At 40.1% G+C, this 23966-nt stretch overlaps 3 protein-coding genes across 5 annotated transcripts in view; 2 read left to right on the forward strand and 1 right to left on the reverse strand.

Moving 5' to 3' along the window:
- Positions 1-3907, forward strand: part of CCDC138 (coiled-coil domain containing 138) — a 98736-nt gene extending 94829 nt beyond the window's left edge. The window contains exons 14-15 of one of the 2 annotated variants that reach the window (NR_147236.2): positions 1093-1213; positions 3524-3907. Coding sequence is in view for 1 of the 2 variants with exons in the window: in NM_001351557.1 (NP_001338486.1) it covers positions 1093-1169 (77 nt within the window). In the remaining variant the exon portion in view is untranslated. The remainder of the gene's footprint in view (positions 1-1092; positions 1214-3523) is intronic. The other variant, NM_001351557.1, reaches the window with a different exon arrangement.
- RANBP2 (RAN binding protein 2) overlaps positions 1-23966 on the forward strand; it is a 1122820-nt gene that overhangs the window by 162097 nt on the left and 936757 nt on the right. The window lies entirely within an intron of this gene.
- The window catches only part of EDAR (ectodysplasin A receptor), a 94750-nt gene continuing 83676 nt past the window's right edge, over positions 12893-23966 (reverse strand). For both annotated transcript variants that reach the window (NM_022336.4, XM_006712204.2), the window contains one exon: positions 12893-15651. In NM_022336.4, the coding sequence (NP_071731.1) occupies positions 15329-15651 (323 nt within the window). In that variant the 3' untranslated portion in view covers positions 12893-15328. The remainder of the gene's footprint in view (positions 15652-23966) is intronic.

Consider the following 23966-nt stretch of genomic DNA (forward strand, 5'->3'; position numbering starts at 1 on the left):
ATGCTAAACCCAACCATTTCTAGCTTTTCATTTAAAGTGAGAGATGTGAGACTCTTCCTTTCACTTGGACACTTAGAGGGCATTTTAAGGTTATTAATTGGCCTAATTTCAGTATTGTTATGTCTCAGGAAATGAAGAGAGATCCAAGGAGAGGGAGAGATGGGGGATCAGCCAGTCAGTGGAGCAGTCATAACACACAAATTCATCAATTAAGTTTGCTGTCTTACATGGGTGTGGTTCTTGGCATCCTGAAACAATTACAATAGTAACATCAGAGATTATTGGCCAGGCACGATGGCTCACTCTTGTAACCCCAGCACTTTGGGAAGCTGAGGCTAGAGGATTGCTTGAGGCCAGGAGTTTGAGACCAGCCTGGGCAACATAGCAAGACCCTGTTTCTACAAAAAGAGCAAAAACAGAAATAAACCAGCCAGTCATAGTGGCAGGCGCTTGTAGTCCTAGCAACTCGAGAAGCTGAGGCAGGAGGGTCACATGAGCCCAGGAGTTGGAGGCTGCAGTGAGCTATGATCACACCAATGCACTCCGGTCTGGGCAACAGAGTGAGACCCTGTCTCAAAAAAAAAAAAAAGAAAAAATAGATTACTGATTACAGATCACCATGACAGATATAATAACATAATAGTAACAGAAAAGTTTGAAAAATGCAAATTACCAAAATGTGAGCTCATGGTTTTGGAGAAAATGGTTCCAATAGACTCACCAGATGCAGGGTTGCCACAAATCTTCAATTTGTAAAAAACGCAATATCTCTGAACCACAGTAAAGTTGAAGTGCAACAAAATTAGGTATGCCTGTATGGAAACGCAGAGCTCACACCCTTCTGATGAACAGACAGAAGTGTCAGATCCTTTTCTATGCTAGCAAAGGATTTTAAGGGTTTGGAATTCTCTAAAAGTGTAAAGCTCTTAGGAGGGCGTTACTTGGCAAAGCAGTGCTTTATCTCATTCTCTTGTTTGCCTGTTCAAACTTCCCACCCATTGTAGACCCACTTGCTGTGTTATTGCAGGTTAAGCCCCCAAGACCCTTTTCTCTCACCTTTTTTGTTCACTTCCCATCCCCTTTCCTTTTCAGGTCATCCTCCATGCCCTTCTGATGTCCACATGTCTCTTCATTTTCTTCTCAGGCCTCCTCTTTCTCTCACCATCTAAGTTATTGAAATTCTTGAAATCCTAAGCAGGCCTGGCACTGAGAGGTAAGCACCTGAGAGTGTCAGTCTTCCCTAGATAAATGGAACTGTGTGCAGATCTGGGACTGCTGGAAGGGTGTGAGGTAGGGATTTAAGGATGGCGCAAGTAGGGTGGGGCTAAAAAAGACCTTGTCTTCTTTATATAGGAGCATCGAGATTAAAGGGTGTGAGGTAGGGGTTTAAGGATGGCGCAAGTCAGGTGGGGCTAAAAAAGACCTTGTCTTCTTTATATAGGAGCATCGAGATTAAACACTGAATTCAGCAGTGTTCAATTCATTTCTTATTTTCCACTGTATTTCATTTCAACCCATCCTCTATATTTTGTGAGCCCAAAGCCTTTAGATATGTGTAGAGGAAGGTGTGATACAGCTTTCAACTTCTTGAAATTTGCCCAAGAAATACTTTGTATCATGAGGTCTGCAGTTATTTATACAAATCCCTGAAAATATTTCATGGCAAATCTGTAGCACCCAGTTGAGATGAGACCAAACTGGAAAAATCTCTGTGGCTGTGGTTATTGTCAGTTCTGTAAGATGAAGATGGGACCAGTGACAAGAATGTGCACTATTTACTGAGCACTCACCTGCACGGGGCCATGTGCTTTTCAGACATTGCCTCTTTCAGTCTTGAGCACAATGCCAGTTGTGCCATCCCCTGACATATAGATGAGATGAAGATCCAGACATAACCAGCAAGGGCAGGGCTGGGATGCGATCCATGTGTGCCTGGTTCCCAGGGTTGGCATGTTTGCAGTGTTCTCTCCATAATGGTTTGCCTTAATGAAGAGAGGATTCAGGATGTCCAGTTTCAGCCTCACTGGCTGGGCTGGAATCTTCCATTGACCCTTCCACTCTACATTCCTCCCTGGCCTGGGATGCTCACTCGAGTGGGCTTCTTGCTGGGCTTGGCCAGTGGGGGTTGCCATCAGGAGACAACAGGGCATCTGCTTCTCCAGGGCATCCCCCAGGGCACAGTGCTTTGTGACTCAAGGGTCTGCCCCTCTTGGTTTCCCTAAACCTCACTCCTCTCTTTGTAAACAGCCCCTTTATAAATTACGCACCTTGAGGGTGTCATCTGCTTTCTTTCAGGAGCAGGACTGACTCACTAGCATCACTCCTAAATAATGTGAACTTGTTTTGATTTTTTGTTTGAGGCAGAGTCTCTCACAGGTTCCTAGGCTGGAGTGCAGTGGCATGGTCTTGGCTCATTCTGGGCTCAAGCAATCCTTTCACCTTAGCCATCTCAGTAGCTGGGACTATAGGCATGCGCCACCATGCTCGGCTAATTTTTAAAATATTTGTAGAGATGGGGTCTTGCTATGTTGCCAGGCTGGTCTTGAACTCCAGGGCTCAAGTGATCCTTCTGCCTCGGCTTCCTAAAGTGTTGGGATTACAGGTATGAGCCACTGCACCTGCCCAATGATGTGAACTTTTAGTAAGTCACTTCAGTTATCTGGGCCCAACTTGCTTTACCTGTCAAGCAGGGACCATGGTGCCTGGTCTCCCAGATTGTGAATGTCAAAGAAAACAGGTAGAGAGGCACTTTGGAAGATAAACACTCCTCAGAATGGGAGCTAGCAGTGTAATTCCACAAGGCACAGAATGGGCATTCACTGCATAGCCTGACTGGAAGTGGAGCATCCTTTGTGAGAAAAGGAAACCTCTGAGACAGTGAATATGTTCCCATTCTGAAAAGCTTGATGCAATCAAAATAGAAGAAAGAGCACCGCTGAAGAGAATAAGAGAAGAGATCTTTGTTTTGTTTTTGCTTGTTTCTTTGTGGTAGTGACAGCGTATTTCATGTAGGAACCTGTGACAAAGCTCCACATAATAAACATCAGAAAGTCAAGGATGATGGTTTTGGCCAAGGAGCAAATGACACATGCCACAGCTCTCCTGGCAGGTCCCCTTTTCGAGATTGTGTCCTCCCGGATAGGACTCTCAAGCAGCTGCAACAGGCATCTTCCAGCTGGGAAAGGCCACTTGACCTCTTTTTCTCTTTCGAAAGCCGGGCAGCTGTGAGTCCAGGCTTGTCACTCCTGGGTGCAGGCTCAGGAATTGAAGGCGGGTCTGCCAAGCCACACACCCTCGTTGAAACACCTCTGCTCTGTGGCCAGGCTTTTCAGCCCCTCCCCACTCCCCATCAGCAGTGGCTTCTGGAATTTCCCTGTCTGTAGAATGAGAATAGTTACATCAAAATTTCTTCCCAAGGAGCTAATTGGAATATTGTAATACAAATATTTGCAGAGAATTAATACTGAGAGATGCTAAAGGAGAATTTAGCTCATGTAATTACTAATCAGTGTCTTTTTTCCAGGTACTCTGTAAGGGAGCTGAAACTTCCAGCCTTTCTTCCTATTCACAAACCCACCTTTACCCGCCCCCAATGCTGGACTTTGGTTTTTCATATTGCTTTTGCAGAACTTTAAAACATTTGAATCTTTCCTTGATGAGTTTTTGTCCTGAGGGGCCAGTGCAGTTTTCTTGCCACTTTGTTTTCCTCTCATATAACTTTTCCCTGTCAATAAGGCATTTAGGCTGAGAGAAAAAGTTATTGAGCATGTGCATCCAAATTTGAGATGATTGTTATTTCATTACCTAATGACTTTAACTTCTTTGATACTGTGTTTGTCTTATGAATATAATGGCTTTCTCACTTTAATGAAAAGTTATACAATAAAATTGAAAAGTAAGTACTGTATCTGTAAAAATTAATTCCTTTCTAAATGTAAAGAATTAATGAGACCAGACTTTTTATTTTTTATTTGTACAAATCTATGGGATACATGAGAAATTTTGTTACATGTGTATAATGTGTGGTGATCAAGTCACCACACGGGTATTTGGGGTGTCCACCCGAGTACAATACATCTTTGTTAAGTATAGTCACCCCAGTCAGCTGTTGAACATTGAATTTTTTCCTTCTAACTTACTGTATGTTTGTACACTTTAACCCAGTTCTCCTTATCCTCTTCCTCCCACCACTCATGATTCCCAGTCTCTGGTATCTGTCTTTCCCTCTCTACCACTATGTGATCAAATTTTTTAGCTTCCACATATAAGTGGAAACATGTGACATTTGTCTGTTTTGCTTGGCTGTTTTCACTTAAAATAATGACCTCTGGTTTTATCCATGTTGCTGCAAATGACATGACTTCATTCTTTTTGTGGCTGAATAGTGTTTCATTGTGTATATGTACCACATTTCCTTTATCCATTCGTCCGCTGATGGGCACTTAGTTTGATTCCATATCTTTGCTATTGTGAATAGTGCTGCAATAAACATGGGGGTGATATATATCAGTATATCATATTGATTTCTTTTCCTTTGGGTAGATACCCAGTAGAGGGATTGCAGGATCCAGTGGTAATTCTAATTTTAGTTTTTTGAGAAATCTTACTTTTCCATAGTGGCTGTTTAAATTCTCACCAACAGTGGGTAAGAATTCTTTTTATCTACATCCTTGCCAACATCTGTTATTTTTGTCTTTAATAATAGCTCTTCTGACTGGGGTAAGATGATATCTAATTGTGATTTTGATTTTCATTCTGATGTTGGGCATTTTTTCATGTATCTGTTGGTTACCTGTATGTCTTCTTTTGAACAATGTCTATTCATGTCCTTTGCCCACTTTATTTATTTTTTTTGAGACGGAGTCTCTCTCTGTCACCCAGGCTGGAGTGCAGTGGTGCAATCTCAGCTCCCTGCACGCTCCGCCTCTTGGGTTCACGCCGTTCTCCTGCCTCAGCCTCCCGAGTAGCTGGGACTACAGGCGCCCGCCACCATGCCCGGCTAATTTTTGTATTTTTAATAGAGACGGCTTTCACTGCATTAGCCAGGATGGTCTCCATCTCCTGACCTCATGGTCCATCTGCCTCGGCCTCCCAAAGTGCTGGGATTACAGGTGTGAGCCACCATGCCCGGCCCCCTTTGCCCACTTTTTAATGGGATTTAAAAAAAAAATTTAACTGTGGAGCTGTTTGAGTTCCTTGTGTATTCAGAAAATTAGTCCCCTGTTGGATGAATAGTTTGCAGATATTTTCTACTATTCATTAGGTTGTCTCTTCACTCTGTTGATCATTTCCTTTTCTGTGTCAAGTATTTTTAGTTTATTATAATCCTATTTGTCTATTTTTGTTTTGTTGCCTGTGCTTTTGAGGTCTCAGTCATAAATTCTTTCCCTGAGAGTTTTCCCTAGGCTTTCTTATGCTGTTTTTTATAGTTTCATGTCCTATGTGTAAATCTCTAATCTATTTTTAGTTTATTTTTGTATATGATGAGAGATAGGGGTCCATTTTCATTCCTCTGCATCTGGTTAACCAATTTTCTCAGTACCATTTATTGAAGAGGGTGAACTTTCCACAGTGTTTAGTTCTTTTTGGCTTTGTCAAAGATCACTTGGCCATAAATATGTGTCTTATTTCTGGTTTCTTTATTTTGTTCCATTGGTCTACGTGTCCGTTTTTATAACAGTACCATGCTGTTTTGGTTACTATATCCTTGTAATATGTTTTGAAGTGAGTCATTGTGATGCCTACAGCTTTTGTCTTTTCGTTCAGGATGACTTTGAGCTCTTTTTCTGTTTCCATATGAATTTTAGGATTGCTTTTTTGATTCTGTGAAAAGTGATGTTGGTATTTTGATGGGGATTGCATTGAATCTGTAGATTGCTTTGGGCAACGTGGTTATTTTAATGATACTAATTTCTCTTATCCATGAGCATGGGACCTTTTTCCATTTTATTTGTGTCCTCTTCAATTTCTTTCATCAGTGTTTTATAGTTTTCCTTATAGAGATTTTCCACTTCCTTGGTTAAATTTATTCCTAGGTATTTTATTTTATTTTTGTAGCTATTGTAAATGGAATTGCCTTCTTGATTTCTTTCTCAGCTAGATCACTATGGGTATAGAAATGCTACTGATTTTTATATGTTGGTTTTGTATCCTGCAACTTTACTCAATTTATTTATTAGATAAAAGAGATTTTGGTGGAGTATTAAGGTAGATACAAGGCCATAGCATCAGCAAGGAGGGCCAATTTAATTTCCTCTTTTCCATTCTGGATGCTTTTTATTTCTTTCTCTTGCCTGAGTGCTCTAGCTAGGATTTCCAGTACTACATTGAATAGCAGTGGTAAACTGGGGCATCCTTGTCTTATTTCAGTTCTTAGAGGAAAGGCTTTTAGCTTTTCTTCATTCAGTATGATGTTAGCTGTGGGCTTGTCATAGCCTTTCTTATTTTGAGGTAAGTTTCTTCTATGCCTAGTTTGTTGAGAGTTTTTATCCTGGAGTGATGTTGAATTTTTTAAAATGCTTTTTCTGCATCTGTTGAGATGATCATATGGTTTTTTTCCTTCATTTTGTTGATGTGATATGTCACATTTATTGATTTGTATATGTTGAACTATCCTTGCATCCCTGGCATAAATCCCATTTGATAATGGTGTATTATGTTTTTAATGTGCTGTTGGATTTGGTTTGCTTGTATTTTGTGGAGGACTTTTGCATATATGTTCATTCACCAGGGATATTGGCCTGTAGTTTTCTTTTCTTGTTATGTCTTTGTCTGGTTTTGGTATTAGGGTAATGCTGGCTTCATAGAATAAGTTAAGGAGAATTCTCTTCTCTTCAATTTTTTGGAATAGTTTCAGGAGGGTTGGTGTTATTTCTTTGTATGTTTGGTAGGATTCAGTTTGAATCCATTTAGTCCTGGGCTTTTTTTGTTGGGTAATTTTTTTATTACTGATTCAATCTTGGTAGGTTTTATGTTTCTGGGAATTTATCCATTTTCTCTGTGTTTTCTAATTTGTGAGCAAATAGTTGTCCATAGTAGTCTCTGATGATATTTTTGTAATTCTGTGGTATCGCTTGTAATATCTTCTTTTTCATTTCTGATTTTATTTGGGTCTTCTTTCCTTGATTAATTTAGCTAACCGTGTATCAATTTTTTTTATCTTTTGGGAGAATCAATTTTTCATGTTGTTGAGTCTTTGTATTTTTTTAAGTCCCTACTTTATTTAGTCCTGCTCTGATCTTTATTATTTCTTTTTGTCTATTTTTGGGCTTGGTTTGTTCTTGCTTTTCTATTTCTTTGAGGTATATTGTTTGATTGTTACTTTGTACTCTTTCTGCTTTTTTTGATGTAGGCGTTTATTGCTGTAAACTTCCCCCTTTGCACTGCTTTTGTTGTACCCCATCAGTTTTGCTTTATTGTTTCTTCATTTTTATTTCTTTCAGTTTTTTTAAATTTTCATATTAATTTCTTTTTTATCCAGTGGTTATTCAGAAGCATGCTGTTTAATTTCCATGTTTTTGTATAGTTTCCAAAGTTCCTCATGGTATTGATTTCTAGTTTTATCCATTGTGGTCTGAGAAAATACTTGATATGATTGTGGTTTGTTAAGTTTTGTTGAGACTTGTTTTGTGGCCTAACATATGGTCTATCCTGGAGAATGTTCCATGTGCTGATGAAAGAATGTATATTCTGTAGTCAGATAGAATGTTCTGTAAAGATCTGTTAGGACCAATTGCTCTAAAGTTTAGTTTAAATCCAATGCTTTTTGATTTTCTGTCGAGGTGATCTATCTAATGCTGAGTGGGAGAGATGAAGTCTCTGACTGTTATTGTATTGCATCTATCTCTCCTTAGATCTAATAATATTTGCTTTATTAATATGAGTGCTCCAATATTCTAGACATATATATTTAGAATAATTATATCCTCTTGCTGGATTGATCCCTTTATCATTATATAATAACCTTTTTTTCTTTTCTTTTTTTTTTTTCACTGTTTTTGACTTAAAGTCTATTTTATCTCATCAGTACAGCTACACCTGCTTAATTTTGGTTTTCATTTGTATGAAATATGTACATCACTTTACTTTCAGATGTGTCTTTACTGGTAAGGTGAGTTTCTTGTAAGAGGCGTATAGTTAGATCATGTTTCTTAATCCATTCAGCTATTCTATATCTTTTAAGTGGAGAATTAAATCTGTTTGTGTTCACAGTTATTGATATGTGAGGTTTTGTTGTCTTTTCTGGTTGTTTCATATATTCTTTGTTCCTTTCTTTTTCTCTTATTGATTGTTGTTGTGGTTGGTGGGTTTCTATAGTGGTACCATTTCTCTTCCTATTTTATGTGATTGCTTTACCAGTGAGTTTTATACTTTCATTTGTTTCCATGATGGTAAATGTTATTTTGCTTCCAGGCTTAAAATTCCCTTGAGCATTTATTGTGGGAGTCGTCTAGTGGTAATGAATTCCCTCAGCATTTGCTTGTCTAGGAAAGACTAGTTCTCTTTCATTTATGAAGGATAATTTTGCTGGATATAGTATTCTTGGCTGACATTTTTTTTTTTTTTCTTCTCAGCACTTTGAGTATATCATACCATTCTCTTCTGGCCTATAAAGTTTCTGCTGAGAAACTCACTCTTAGGCTGATGGGGTTTTCTTTTTTTTTTTTTTTTTTTTTTTTTGTAATGGGGTCTCACTCTGTCACCTAGTCCAGAGTGCAGTGCAGTGGCATGATATGGGCTTACTGCAGCCTCTGCCTCCCAGGCTTAAGCAATCCTCCAACCTCAGCCTCCTTAGTAGCTGGGACCACAGGCACAAGCCCCATGCCTGGCTAATGTTTTGTGTTTTTGGTAGAGAAGCGGTTTTGCCATGTTGCCCAGGCTGGTCTTGTACTCCTGAGTACGAGTGATCTACCCATCTCAGCCTCCCAAAGTGCTGGGATTACAGGCATGAGCCACTGCACCTGGTCAGGGGTTTTCTTGATAGGTAACTGTATGCTTTTCTCTTGCTCTTTTTAGGATTCACCCTTTATCTTTGACTTCAGACAGCTGGACTATAATGTGTCATGGCGAAAACGCTTGCAGAATGTATCTTCCTGGAGATCACTGAGTCTCCTGTATTTGAATGTCTAAATCTCTAGACTTAGGAAGTTTTCATCTATTATTTTATTAATTAAATTTTCTAACCTTTTCTCTGTCTCTTTACTCTCAGGGATACTAATAACTCGAATATTTGATCACTTTGTGTTTTCCCAAGTGTCATGAAGGCTTTACTCATTCTGTTTTATTCTTTTTCTTTTTGTCTGACTGGATTATTTCAAAAATGCTATCTTCAAGTTCTGAGATTCTTTATTCTCCCTTATGCAATCTATTTTTGAAGCTTTCAAATGTATTATATATTTCCTTCAATGAATTCTTCAGTTCTGGAATTTCTGTTTGGTTCTTTAAAAAAAATCTATCTCTTTGATAAATTTTTCATTCATATCCCATATTGTTTTTCTGATTTCTTTGTATTGTTTTTCAGAGTTCTCTTGTATATCACTGAGCTCCTTTAAAATCAATATTTCAAATTTTTTATCTGGGATTTCAGAAATTTATTTTTGATTAAGATCTATTGCTTGAGAATTCTGATGTTCCTTTAGAGGCGTCACATTTCCTTAATTTTTCATGTTTCATTTGTCCTTAAGTGGATCTCTGCACATCTGGTGTAACTGTTGCTTCTTCTTGTTTTTGAAATTTCTTTCATAGAAGAAGACTTTTTCCTAAAGATATATCTATGGTTTTGGTTGAGTAGGGTACTTTGGCTTTGATTCTGGATGCACGTAGTAATGTAGTCTCTGTATGATTTTTTAGGCTGTAAGTAGTGTTGGTGGCATCCATGATTTCCCCACTGGGTTAGGGTGAAGTTATTAGTGGAGGCTGTGGTGAAGTTGTACTAGGGATTGGGATGCCAAATGGGCCAGTCTTCAGGCCCTAGTGATGACAGCAATGGGCTAAGTGTGCCTGTTTGTGCCCAGGGCTGTATAGCTGGCATCTCTGTTGGCAGTTATTTGGCAGGCTGATTTCTGGGCCTCCAGGTGGCTTGTTCAGTTGCTGGTAGTGGCAGCAATGGATTGGGTGTGTAGGTGGGTTTTTGGGCCTTTGGGCAGCTGGCATAGCATGAGCAATGGCAGTAGCAGTAGCAGGACGATTCTCTGGGTCCCAAGTGGTGTGCATTGATGTTGGTGGTTGCTGTGATGGACTGGGTAAGACAACCTCTTGGCCTTCAGGTGACACTTGCAAGGAGGTACCAGGTGATGTGATGGTGGCTGGGAGTTTAGGCCCAACCATAGGCCCCAGAAAGATGCTCAGGTACCCAAGGTGGTGGATTGAATTGCACAGTTCCCAGGACCCCAGAATATGTGCCCTGTCTGAAAGAGGGGGCAAAGCTGGGCTGTGCAGGTTTGTGCTCAGGCCCCTTGGTGAGAGCAGGCACCACCATTGGTGGCCAGGATAAGGTGATCCTCAGGCCCCAGGCAGAGTGCTCAGGTAAGGGATGATGGCAGCTGTGCTAAAGTGCTACCACTGGACAGAGTGTGGCTGTGCTCTGTGGCCACAGCCTGGGCTGGTAGGTGAGAATGTATGTCCTTCCCACAGTCCCAGTGGGGCTTGCTTTCCAGCCTTGACAATGTTAGCCCATGCCTGTCTCACCCTCCCACCCTGGCTGCAGGAGGCCCCATTTCAGCTGGTGAGCAAGTCCCAGTGGCAACTTACACCCTTTCAGCATCCTAATTTCTGTCCCAGCAGCACTCACTTCCTGGCATCAGCAACTGCAACCCTTTCCTTGTTTGTTTCTTAGCCCTGGCTGTGGAAGTGCTTGCAGCTCACTCCCCATTCCCAGCAGCAACAATCTGGGTTTCTGTAACACCTCAGTCCCAGTGCCTCTGGGCCCCAGGACAGCATGCAATCTACCCAAGGCTAGGTTTGAAAATGGTGTCTTGCTGTAGTTGCTTAGGTCTCAGAAAGGTGTGGGATCCAGTGCAAACTCCATCTCTGGAGCAGTTCCATCCCATGGTCTCCCAGCAGCTCCCTATGTTAGCTTCAGTGGTTGGGAGGGTTGAGGGGTCTCTCATGGCCAGGATTACATGAGTTCATGCTGGGGATCTGGGCCACTGGAAGTCTCTTATTCACCCTTTCCCTGAATTGGGAAGTCACTCCCAGCTCCTAGTTGATCCTGGCTAGGCAGGCTGCTTGTCTCCCTTCTCCTTCCCTGCTTTTGGTGTTTCCTGCCACTTCTCTGTTGAATTCCAGTGTTCTCTCTTGGATAATGTATTCAAAGTGTGACTGTCTACACACTGTTTTTGTTCTAAGTGGAAGAGGCTGGCATGAAATGCTTCTAGTAGCCATCTTTGTCTGTGCTATTTCTAATACTACATTGCTGTACCTAGGTAAATTCCTCTGGGAAAGTTGAGACCCATGTTCACAAAATAAAGAAAGAGGCCACAAGGATAAAAGAAGGGTCACCTAATTCCTCATGGTTATTTCATTTATTCATTTGGTTGCCTTTAAACCTACATTCATGGCTCAAAATCATCATGCAAACTGGGATTCTCATATTACTATTGATTTTAATTTTCCTTTATATTTTCCTTTTTTAAACTTCCTGTTACTTGTCAAATCTCAGTAGAAGTACACCTTCTAACAGAATAATACTGGCCCTGCATTTTGAGATGATGATAGCAAATGTTTACAGAACAGACAAAATCAAATTTAACAGTAGACTTCAAGTAGACCTAGCCTGAGAGCCACTCTCTCCAAACTTCCCATTTGTTCAAACATGGCTAAAGGGTTTTGACACTGACTCCTAGTCACCATCAAATCCCTCCAATGTGAGACCAGACCAGCCACCTAGGACAGGTCTATCCTGGCACGAAGGAATAATATGGGATGACTCACTGGGGATGCTTTCTGATAAAGATCTTGATCAAATGGGGGAAATGTGGAAGTTGTCAGAATTATAAAGGAGTCACTTGTGCTTAAAAAACAAAACAAAACTGACAAATAGAGTCATGGAAGGCCAGGAAAGAAGGGTTCTCCCTGCATAAATCACTGATAACAAGAGCCATCACAAGACTGAAAAAACGAAAACCTTGCACAAAGGCCATGACAATCTTAAACACACACAAAGACTCCTGCAAGGACCTCTGCCCAGCAACTCCCTGTCCAACCCTGGACTGGCACCACCCTTATTATCCTTGTAGCCAAGGATAATTGTCTCAAAATAATTATGTAATCCTCCTTATTTTCCTCTAAGAACCATTGTCTTCCTTTACCTCTTCAAAAACACGCATAGTTTACTATGGCACATGTATTCCCATTGCAATGCCCTATTCCCCAATACATATCATTTTCTTTCTTTTAGAGAGCCTCTCTCTGTTATCTATCTAGGTTGACAGAGATGATGGAGTAGAGCTGCCCCAGTTAAGGTATTCCAACAGACAGAGGCCCCAGTTGACCCACATTCAACTGAGCCCAACCTAAGTCAGCTGACTGACCCCCTACTAACCCCCGAGCTATGATAATAAATGACTGTTGCTTTAAGCCATTGAATTTTAAGACAAGACAGTTTGTTACACAGAAATAGATAAGTGATACAATGCCTTATGAGCTAATGATGGCAACTTGGAAAGCAATGCTCCAGGTGGTTTTTACATGATCTCTTTGTAATGTTTGCTTCTGCCTAGTGAATGTCCCAGGCCATAACATTTTAGGCACTTTGTTTATAGCTGGTTGCAATCCTACAGTCTCATCATACATAGGGCAATAACCAGGAACAGAGCAATCAGAACCTTCCCCACTCACCCCCCGACCCACCACCCCAAATACAAAGAGAGCTCACATTACGGTAGTCTATAAATCTTATTAATGTGTTTATTGAGATTATAAAATATAATAAGTTATATATATACAGAATTAGACAAAAATAATATTGACAATTAAGACTTCACTGTCTAAGGGCCACAGACCTACCCTGGGGTGTTTTCTAAATGTTTTAAAGTATTGCAGAATTATGAATATCTCCACACAAAAATGGCAGGATGGAGTCCCAGCTTTGGTCAGTGAGAATTATTATGATCTCATTGTTCTGAATCCCATAACATAGGCTAAAGCTTGTCAGAGTAAATCCCATGTTTCCAAATAAGTAAATGACAAGGGAATTTGTAACTATATAAGGAATAGCTCCCTAAAAATGGCAGGTGGAGAGCCAATGGAACATGAGCTGACACTGGCTGGCCTTACAGCCCCAGAATTCTAATAGTGTGAAATGAGGCCAAAGCACCAGGAGCAGAGAACAGCCACCCCACTCTTTCGCTGAAAACATTCTGAGGAGGGTGCAAGCTGTTATCCTGGAATGGCACACTCATCACAAGTGACATTTGCAGTCTAATTAAGGGGAGACTCACTCATCATCATCACAAGGCAGGGGGAAGGGGGCACCACAGGATTTCAAAGAGGAATTAAAAGGATAATTAAGCTCTGCCGTGGAGTATTTAGCTTGCAGGGTAAACCAAATAGGTTCGAAAAACAGCAGCAAACAGACACAGTAAATGATGATATTAAATATTCAGGACCTCATTATGATCCTCTCACAGTATGTACTACATTCGTTGGTGGGAAATTGCTTGTTGGTGTTAAAGATATGACTGATTTTCCCCCTAAAGCATTTTTTCAGTCATGCAACTTGTAATTTTTACAACCTCGCTTTATAAGTCAGAGACTTTGTTTTAATGTAGTAATAAACACAGACCTGCCATCAGGGAGTTCAGCAGTGAACTCTAACCCCTGGTGTGATCACTAGCCTGGCTCCTGAGCTCTTGGCAGTTACAGGGATAGTACAATAATATGCCAAGAACAATGCCAGTTTATTAACTTTCTGCCTATAAATGTTATGTCAAACCATTGCAGTTATTGTGAAAATGCCAAGTCTGAGTTTTTCTGTTTTTATTCCCATTTAAATGGACAAACCACACTGTGTTGACTTCCATAGAGCACCTCAAAGGCCTGGCATTTCCTATAGCTCCACTTTCTTTTTGCTCACCTGAACCCTACCTGCCCCAATTATAGAATCACTAACTAACATCTCATTGGCAGACGAGAAACTGAGGCAGAGAGAGGAAAAGACAAGGCCCAAGGTGGCACAACTAGAAGCCAGCTCCCTCGACATCAAGCCCAGGCTCTCATTTGCGCTGCAGAACTCCACTTTCCCTGACTGGCTCAGAAGGCTGAGTCTGAAACTCTCATGCCATGAGGCTAATCCACAAGTCTTAGATGCTCTTGAAATCTAGAATTATGCGTGGCTGAACTCTTAGGAAGTCATCATTTCTCTAATTACAGCTGACTACTCATACATGTTTGAAGTGAAAACACAGCCTGACACATTATAATTTAAATTGCTGTGTCCTTCAGCATTGCTGCCCCTAAAAGGTCAAATCTGCCTAAGACTGAAGTGGAAGGCCATTCACATGTAGTGCAGACCACAGGGTTCCCAGGCCAAAGAGTAATGCAGTAAATGAAATTGGCTACTGCACACATCCAATTGCTTGGACAAACACATGCCTTGCATATTGGTTTTGTATAGAGTGAGCTCTTCCATTATTGACTGGAAGGCCTGTAAGAATATGGATGACCTCAAGGATAGGTAAAAAGTTATCCTAATGAAACCACATAGGGTATTAACAGACTTGTACTAAACCTGAAATAATACCTGGAGCAGGGTGTCTGCATTTTGTTGCCATTTTATCAAAATGTTTGAGCTGCTTCTTCACTAGGATGCCATCCTTCATCATCCCAGTAGGGAGTCATCTCCCGCTTAGAACTTCTATTAACGTTTTCTAAGCGCCCCTTCATTCAGCTTGTTTGACGTCTTCCAGTGAAGTGGTTTGTAAACATACGTTCCTTCTGTCTTCTACTGGAGTGCAAACTCCTTAAAGACAGGGACCAGATTCTTCACTTCTGTCATTCCCACGGGGTTTGATTCATTTGAGTCCTCAACATTGTCTCATTGTTCAGTGAGTTAATGGTGGGCTGGTGGGCTGGCTGTATGAGTGAGTAGATATTTACTCTGCCTGGTGAGGTACAGGCGAGCATCTGAAAGTATCCCGGCTCTAGTCCTTTATCTTTGGTTAAATTGGAAGACAGGCCTTATTTCGTCTGGCTCCTTGAACATCCTAAGGCATACGGTGACATATCACAAAAGCCTTGATTCTTGGCAGTCTTTTGGCACCACTCACAGCTCCAGAGCCCTCGTTGGCTCCTTGGCTTGTCCTGGGAGGACAGCCCACAGGCATGCTTTTCAGGATGCAGCATGTGGCTGGGAGGCAGGTGGCACAACCCCCGCCCACTCCAGTATGTCTGCACACAAGGACTCCACAGCATCCAGCCGCTCAATCTGCACCAGTTTTGTGAGTAGCTCAGGGATGCTGTAGCCTGCCGTGCTGATGCGGTCAAAGAGTTGCATGCCGTCTGTCATGCCCCCAATCTCATCCCTCTTCAGGCCGAAGCTCTCGGCGAGGTGGCGCCACGTTTTCACAACAGCCTTCTCAGAGTTGTACGTGGAGCTGAGCATTCGGCTAGTCTTCTCGAGGCAATCAAATGGCAGCTCCGTGGGGCTAAGACCTACAGACACCAATGGCCACAGTTAGATGTTGCAAGTCACAGTCAATAGAAGGTCAACACTGAAAAATTATTTAAATGAAATAAAAATTATTTGAAAAAAATTTTTTTAAAATTATAAAACATGCAGAAAGCCACCTAAAACAAATGCATAACTTAAGGCAAACGACACCTAGAACGCTGCCAGCCACAAGAGAGGGCTGTGCATGTACCCTGACCCCGGTAATAGCCCCTTCCCCACTAGGAAAATGACTGCTATATTGACAATGATAATAATTCCCTCATGACCATTTTTAGCAGTTCTCAAAGACTTCAAGACAAGTTATCCTTAGTTGGGTAACCCTGTCTCCCATGGGGCTGGGCTGAGGAGGGGTTCAAAGGGACAGTGTCATGTCTCTTTAGGGAACAGTAGTCAACTTTGTGATGGCTGCTCTCAATGATAGCCCCAGATTGGGGTTATCTGAACCAAGTCACTGCCAACTCAGTGGTCTGATGGTTCTTGGGCTTCACTGTACATTAGACTCACCTAGGAGCATTTAAAAACTTGATATTGCTGTTTCTGGAAGATAAGAGTAGATATAATTTTCCCTAATCCTCCCACTAAGTACAGCTAAAAGCCCTGGACATTCTGTGTAAAACAAATACAAGAAGTCTGAAAAGTGGAGAAAAGAAGACAGACCAACTAGGGACCTCGATACCTTAGGATGGTGATGGTGGTAAGTTCCCTGGGTTTTCTTTTGCCTCATAAATTCCAGACATGGGGCAGAAAAGTCCAAAAATCTGGAAATAATAGCAACCACAGACAAAAACAGCCCCAACAAAAGTCTTCTGTCTCTAGTCAGAGCACTAGGAAAAGAGCAGCCTAGCAAGCATAAAACATTTAGACAATAATTGCTCTATTCCAGCCAAACATCACAGAAAAACTGTGTCCCCACTCTATCCAGGGTAGCAAAGGCTGAGTGGGGAGCCTAGAATTCCACCCTCACCAGGCTGTAACACTGTGCCAGGTGGTGTCAGGAAAGGCCATGTAGGGAGCTGGGGCTTTCTCATCAACCAGCTGGTAAAAACTCCTCTGCCCCCGTGGTGACCATGTCAGTAGCCATACTCCCAAACCCCAAGTAGCAGTAAAAAGGAATCCCCCTTGAGTGTTAGTGAAGGTTGAGTGGGGAATTTGGATGTCTACCTTCACCCAACAGTAGCAAGACAGCACCCTCATTCTCCTGCCACAGAGCTATCAAAAGGAGCCAGCTAAAATAGAAGGCTTAAATAAGACCCAGAGTTTCATATCAGGACATAAAACTACACAGGTCTCAAAGTGAATTCACTCATCATACCAAGAACCAAGAAGATGTCAAATGAGTAAAAAAAGAAAATCAATAGATGCTAACACTGAGATGACAGATGTTAGATAATCTGAAAAAGGTTTTAAAGAATTCATAATAAAAGTGCTTCAACAAGCAATTATGAACATGCTTAAATGCAAAAATAGAAATCCTCAGGAAAAATAATAGAAAATGTAAAAAAGAAATGAAAATATTAGAACTACAAAAGTACAATAACCACAATAAAAAGCTCAGTAGATGTGCTCAATGACAGAGTAAGACAGAGGAAAGAATCAGTGAGATGGATAATGGAAACTAGAAGTGGAAATTACTCAATCAGAGAAAATAAACTGAAAAACACAGAGCCTTAGGGAACTGTGGAGTTATAACAGAAGAGCTAACATTTGTGTCAAGAAGTTTCAGAAGGAGAGGAGAAGAGAGTGGGACTAAATAAATACTCAAATAAATGATGGTTTAGAACTCTCCAAATTTGTAAAGAGACGTAAGTCTACAGATTCAAGAAGATAAGCAAATCCCAAACAGGATAAACCCAAATATATTCATGTCAAGATACATCATAAATGAACTTCTGAAAACTAAAGACAAAGTCTTAGAAACAGCCAAAGAAAAACAACGCCTGACCTAGAGAGGGAAAAGAATTAGAATGACAGTAGACTTATAATCAGAAACCTGGAGACCAGAGAGAAGTAGCACAGTATTTCCAAGTACTGAAAGAAAAGAACTTTCAACCCAGAGTTGCATACCAGGTTGCAGTGAGCTGAGTGAAAATATCCTTCAGGAAAGCATGAGAATATCAAGACATTCCAAGCCAAAGAAAAGTTAAGAATTTTTCACCAGCAGACCTATCCTAAAAGAAGCAAAAGGAAATTCTATAAACAGAAAGGAAATAGTAAAAGAATGAAACTTGAGACATCAGAAAAGAACATAGTGAGCAAAAATATGGGCACATACAATAGACTTTCCTTCTCTTTTTAAGTTTTCTGAATTACATTAGGCAGTTGAAGCAATTTATGTGGTTCTAAATATATGTAGAGGAAATATTTACAACTACTGTAAACAGAGAAGGTAAAGGGACATAGAGAAAGGTAAGGTTTTTATACTTCATTCAAACTGGCAAAATAATAACACCAGTAAGGCTGGGCACGGTGGCTCACACCTATAATCCAAGCACTTCGGGAGGCCAAGGTGGGCAGATCACCTGAGGTCAGGAGTTCAAGACTAGCCTGGCCAACATGGTGAAACCCCGTCTCTACTAAAAACACAAAAAACACATTGGCGTGGTAGTGCACACCTGTAATCCCAGCTACTCGGGAGGCTGAGGCAGGAGAATCGCTTGAACCTGGGAGGCGGAGGTTGCAGTGAGCCGAGATCGTGTCACTGCTCTCCAACCTGGGTGGCAGAGTAAAACTCCATGTCAAAAATAATAATAATAATAACACCAGTAGACTGATAAGTTATATGTGTCAATGCAATGTCTAGAGAAACTACTAAAATAACTATGGAAAGAGATAAAATCAAAATGTATCACTCAAAAAACACCAAAATCGAATTCTGAAATATGTTCAAGTGACCCACAGTAAAGCAGGAATAAAAAAACACAGAAATGAAAAACAGAGACAACAAACAGTAAACAAAATATAAAATAGCAGACTTAAGCCCTAACAATGACTACATTTAATGTAAATGGTTTAAATACCAACTAAAGGCTGGGCCTGGTGGCTCATGCCTGTAATCCCAGCACTTTGGGAGGCCAAGGCAGATGGATTAGCTGAGGTCAGGAGTTCTAGACCAGCCTGGTCAACACGGTGAAACCCTGTTTCTACTAAATATACAAAATTAGCTGGTGTGGTGGCACATGCCTGTGATCCCAACTACTTGGGAGGCTGAGGCAGGAGAACCACTTGAACCTGGGAGGCAGAGGTTGCAGTGAGCCAAGATCATGCCATTGCACTCCAGCCTGGGCAACAGGAGTGGAAACTCCAAAAAAAAAGAAAAAAAAAAAAACAAAAAACCCAAACCAAACCAAAACAAAAAAACTAAAAGGTAGAGCTTGGTAGAGTAGACTTAAAAATTTTCCCAGTTATATGCTGCCTAGAAGAAACTCACTTCAATATAATGAGAGAGGCGTTGGAAGTAAAGGATGGAAAAATACATATCATGCAAACTTCAATAACAAGAAGGCAGAGTGGCTATAACATCAGTTAAAGTAGACTTCAGAGGAAAAAATTACCAGAAAGTGACATTTAATAATGATTAAAGGGTCAATCCAAGAAGACATAGCAATCCTAAATGAATATGCACCAAACAACAGAGCTCCAAAATATGTGAAACAAAAACTGATAGACCTGAAAGAAGAGATAAGTCCACAATTATAGTTGAAGACTTTAACATTCCTCCCTCAGTAAATGATAGAACAATTAGAAAAAAAATCAAGAATATAGAACTTACCAACATCATCAACCAACACGATCTAATCAACATTTATAGAACACTCCATTCAACAACAGCAGAATACACATTGTTCATAATTATTGGCCTTAAACCTCAACAAATTAAAAGAATTGAAATTATACAAAGGATATTCCCCTACCACAATAGAATCAGAATATAAATATATAACAGAAAAATCTTCACACACTTGAAAACCAGACAACAGTCTTCTAAATAATCCACAGGTCAAAGAGGAAGTCTCAAAGACAATTTAAAAATGAATGAAAATAAAAATACAAGATGTCAATATTTGTGAGACACAGCTAAAGTAGTACTGAGAGTGAAATTTATAGGACAGATACATACAAAGGAGGAAAACTCAAGTTAACAATCTAAGCTCCCATTTCAAGCACTTAGAAAAAGATTAACAAAATAAACCAAATGTACATAGAAGGAAATAAGTAATTTAGAAATAAGAGCAGTAATCAATGAAATTGAAAACTATAAAGTAAAAGAGATCAATATGAAAAGAGACAGTTATTTGAAAAGATCAATATAACTGACAAGGAAAAAATAGAGAAGACACAAATTACCAATATCAAGAATGAAGCAGGAGATATCACTATACACACCATAGATATCAAACAGATAATAAGATAAAACTTGCAACTTTAACTCTACACATATAAATTTGATAACTTAGATGAAAATAAACAATTCCTCAAAAAACATAAACTATCACAACTTACCCAATATAAAATAGATCATTTGAACAGACTTATAACTATTAAGGAAGCTGAATTTGTAACTGTAAAAATATCTAGCCAAACGCGGTGGCTCACGCCTGTAATCCCAGCACTTTGGGAGGCCGAGGTGGGTATATTGCTTGAGGTCAGGAGTTCAAGACCAGTCTGGCCAAGATGGTGAAACCTCATTTCTACTAAAATACAAAAATTAGGGCTGGGCATGGTGGCTCAAGCCTGTAATCCCAGCACTTTGGGAGGCCAAAGCAGGTGGACCACAAGGTCAGGAGTTCAAGACCAGCCTGGCCAACATGGTGAAACCCCATATCTACTAAAAATACAAAAATTAGCTGGGCATGGTGGCATGCACATGTAATCCCAGCTACCCAGGAGGCTGAGAAAGGAGAATCGCTTAAACCTGGGAGGTGGAGGTTGCCAGCCTGGGACAGAGTGAGACTCCGTCTCAAAAAAAAAAAAAAAAAATTAGCTGGGCCATGGTGGCATGTGCCTATAATCCCAGCTACTTGGGAGGCTGAGGCAAGAGAATCACTTGAACTGGAGAGGCAGAGGTTGCAGTGAGCGAGGATTGTGCCACTGCACTCCAGCCTGGGTGACATAGCGAGACTCCATCTCAAAAACAAAACAAAACAAAACAAAAAAACCTCCCCAAAAGAAATCTCTAGGTCCTCACGATTTCACTGAAGAATTCTACAAAATGTTTAAGAAAGAATAGCAATTCTACACGATCTTTTCTAGACATAGAAAAGGAAGAAACACTTCCTAACTTATTCTATGAGGGTAGTATAAACTGGATACCAAAACCAGACAAAGACAAAAAACAAACCACAAACCAAAGACCAAGATCTCTCATGAATATAAATGCAAAATCCTTAACAAAATATTAGCAAATAGAATGCAACCATAAAAAAGAATTGTACCACATCAGGTATGGCTTATTCCAGGGAGGCAAGGCTGGTTCAATATTTAAAAATTATTGTAATCCACTCAAAAAATTAATGTCAACAATTTATAAAAAGCCTAGAGCTAATATTATACTTAATGGTGAAAAATGGAATGCTTTTAAGATCAGAAATAAGGCAAGGATTTCTGCTTCTGCTTCATCATTTATATTCACTGTAGTGCTGGAAGGTATAGCCAGTGCAATAAAATGAGAAAAGGAAAGAAACGGTACACAGATTGGAAAGGAAGAAATAAAACGGTCCCATTTGCAGATGTGATTATCTATGTAGAAAATCCCAAGGCATCTACAAGAAAACTCCCAGATCTTATAAGTGAATTCAGCAAGGTCACAGGATACAGGATAAACATACAAAAATCAATTGTATTTCTATATAACTAACAATGAATGTATGGCTACTGAATTTAAATTGTCGTTTACAGTGGCTCAAAAAATAAATGATATGGTGTAAATCTAACAAAATATGCACAGAACTTGTATTTCGGAAGCTACACAATGCAGATGAAAAAAAATTAAAGTTGTGCTAAATAAATGAAGAGATATACCATGCCCATGGCTCAGAAGACTCGACATAATAAAGATGTCAAATCTTCCCAGATTGATATACAGTTTTGTTGCAACTCATTAAAATCCCAGCAAGGCATTTTGTACATATAGGGAAGATTATTATAAAACTTATATGGAAAGGCAAAGGAACTAGAATAGCTAAAAGATTTTTGAAAAAAAAATAAAGGAAAATGGGAGCAGTCCATTTGATTTCAGGACTTATATGTTATTACATAATTTATACAAGAATCAAGACCTTGTGGTATTATCAGAGGGACAGACATGTAGATAAATGCAACAGAACAGCAACCCCAGAAAATAGACCTATACAAATATGCCAAACTGATTTTTGACAAAGTTTGAAAAGCAATTCAATGGAGGAAAGATAATTTTTCAAAAAAATGGTGCTGGAGCAATTGGACATCCATAGACAAAAAAATGAACTTTGACCCAAGTTTCATATCTTCTATAAAAATCAACTCAAACTTAAATGCAAAATATAAAACTATGTGAACTTAAATGTAAAACATAAAAACTATGTGGACTTAGAATGTAAAACATTAAGCTATAAAACTTCTAGAAAAAATTGTGGGAGCAAATCTCTGGGATCTAGGACTAGGCAAGAGAGATCTTAGATTTGACACAAAAGCATCATCCATAAAAAGAAAACTTTATAATTAGTTTCATAAATTTGACTCATAAAAATTTAAAACATCATTCTATGAAAGACCCTGTTAAGAGACTGAAAAGATAAGCTAAACTATAGAATGGAGAAAACATTTATAAAACCACATATCCATCATAGGACTAGTGTCTAGAATATATTTTTAAAAACCCTCAAAACTCAACAGCAAAAAAATCATACGATACCATTGAAAAATGGGCAAAAGACATGAAGAAACATTCATTTTACTGAAGAGGACACACAGATGAAAAAAACACAAGAAAACATATTTAAACAATAGGAACATGCAAATTGAGACCACAATAAGATATCATAACACACTTCTCAGAATAGCTAAAACAAAACATAGTAACACCACCAAATGCTGGCAAGCATATGGAGAAACTAGACCGTTCCCACACTGCTAGTAGGAATGTAAAATGGTACAATAACTTTAGAAAACGGTTTGGCAGTTTTTTAAAATAATCAACCATGCAACTATCATACAACCCAACAAATGTACTCCTGGGTCTTTATCCCAGATAAATCACGACTGATGTCCACACAAAAACCTATACACAAATATTTATAGCACCTTTATTCATAATAGCCGTTAAGTGGAAATAACCCTGATGTCCTTCAACAAGTGAATGGTTAAACCAACTCTGGTCCATTTATGCCACAGACTACTACTCAGCAAGAGAGAGGAATGGACTATTGATACATGCAACAACCTGGATGGACCTCCAGTGAATTATGCTGAGTGAAAAAAGCCATTCACCACGGTTACATACCTTGTGATTCCACTTTTATAACACTCTTGAAATGACAAAATTATAGGAATGGAGAACAGATTACTGGTTTCCAGGGGCCTAGGTGAGGGTGGGGTGGGTGGAAATTGGCTGTGGCTATAAAAGGCAACAGGAGGAGTTTTTGTATGGGAGCTGAGTCGATATCACTGTGTCAATATCAGTGTCCTGGTTGTGACTTCTGTGTATAGTTTTGCAAGATGTTATCGTTAGGAGAAACTGGGTAAAGGGCATGTAGGATCTCTCTGTATTATCTCTTACCACTGCATGGTAAGAAGTATCTCAAAATAAAAAGTTTAATTAAAGACAAAACAAAACAAAAAACAAAGAGACACAGATGCCTGGGATTCACCCCTGACTAATTACATCAGGGTGTTTGGGCAGATTGGGTGGGCTGGATGGGCAGAGAGGGTGTTAAGACCTGCAGGTGACTCTAATGTTCATCAGAGCTGGGCATGGAGCACAGGTTCTCAGCCCTGGCTGAGGTTTGAAAACCTCTGTCCCAGGGGTGTGAACTCAACATTTTTTGGAACAGAGAAGAGCTTCCTGGTGGATGGAAGGTGAGTCCTAGACCATCCTCCCCTGGGCAGCTGACAGCCCCAGGCCATGCCAGGTGAGATCAGGCAGGCTGACCTGGGGCATGCGTTTATGGAGAGATGCCACATTTCAGCGGCAGCCAAGAATTCTTGGCCCTGGAACTCACCCACAGTATAGTTATTTCTGGCCAACAAAGCACTGGATCAGAAAGCCTGCCAGGGCACAGGGGGCTGCATTTGGCCTACGGTGGGGTGTGGGGGTGGGAGG

The sequence above is a fragment of the Homo sapiens genome, chromosome 2 (genome assembly GCF_000001405.40).
Source record: "Homo sapiens chromosome 2, GRCh38.p14 Primary Assembly".
NCBI classification, from domain to species: domain Eukaryota; kingdom Metazoa; phylum Chordata; class Mammalia; order Primates; family Hominidae; genus Homo; species Homo sapiens.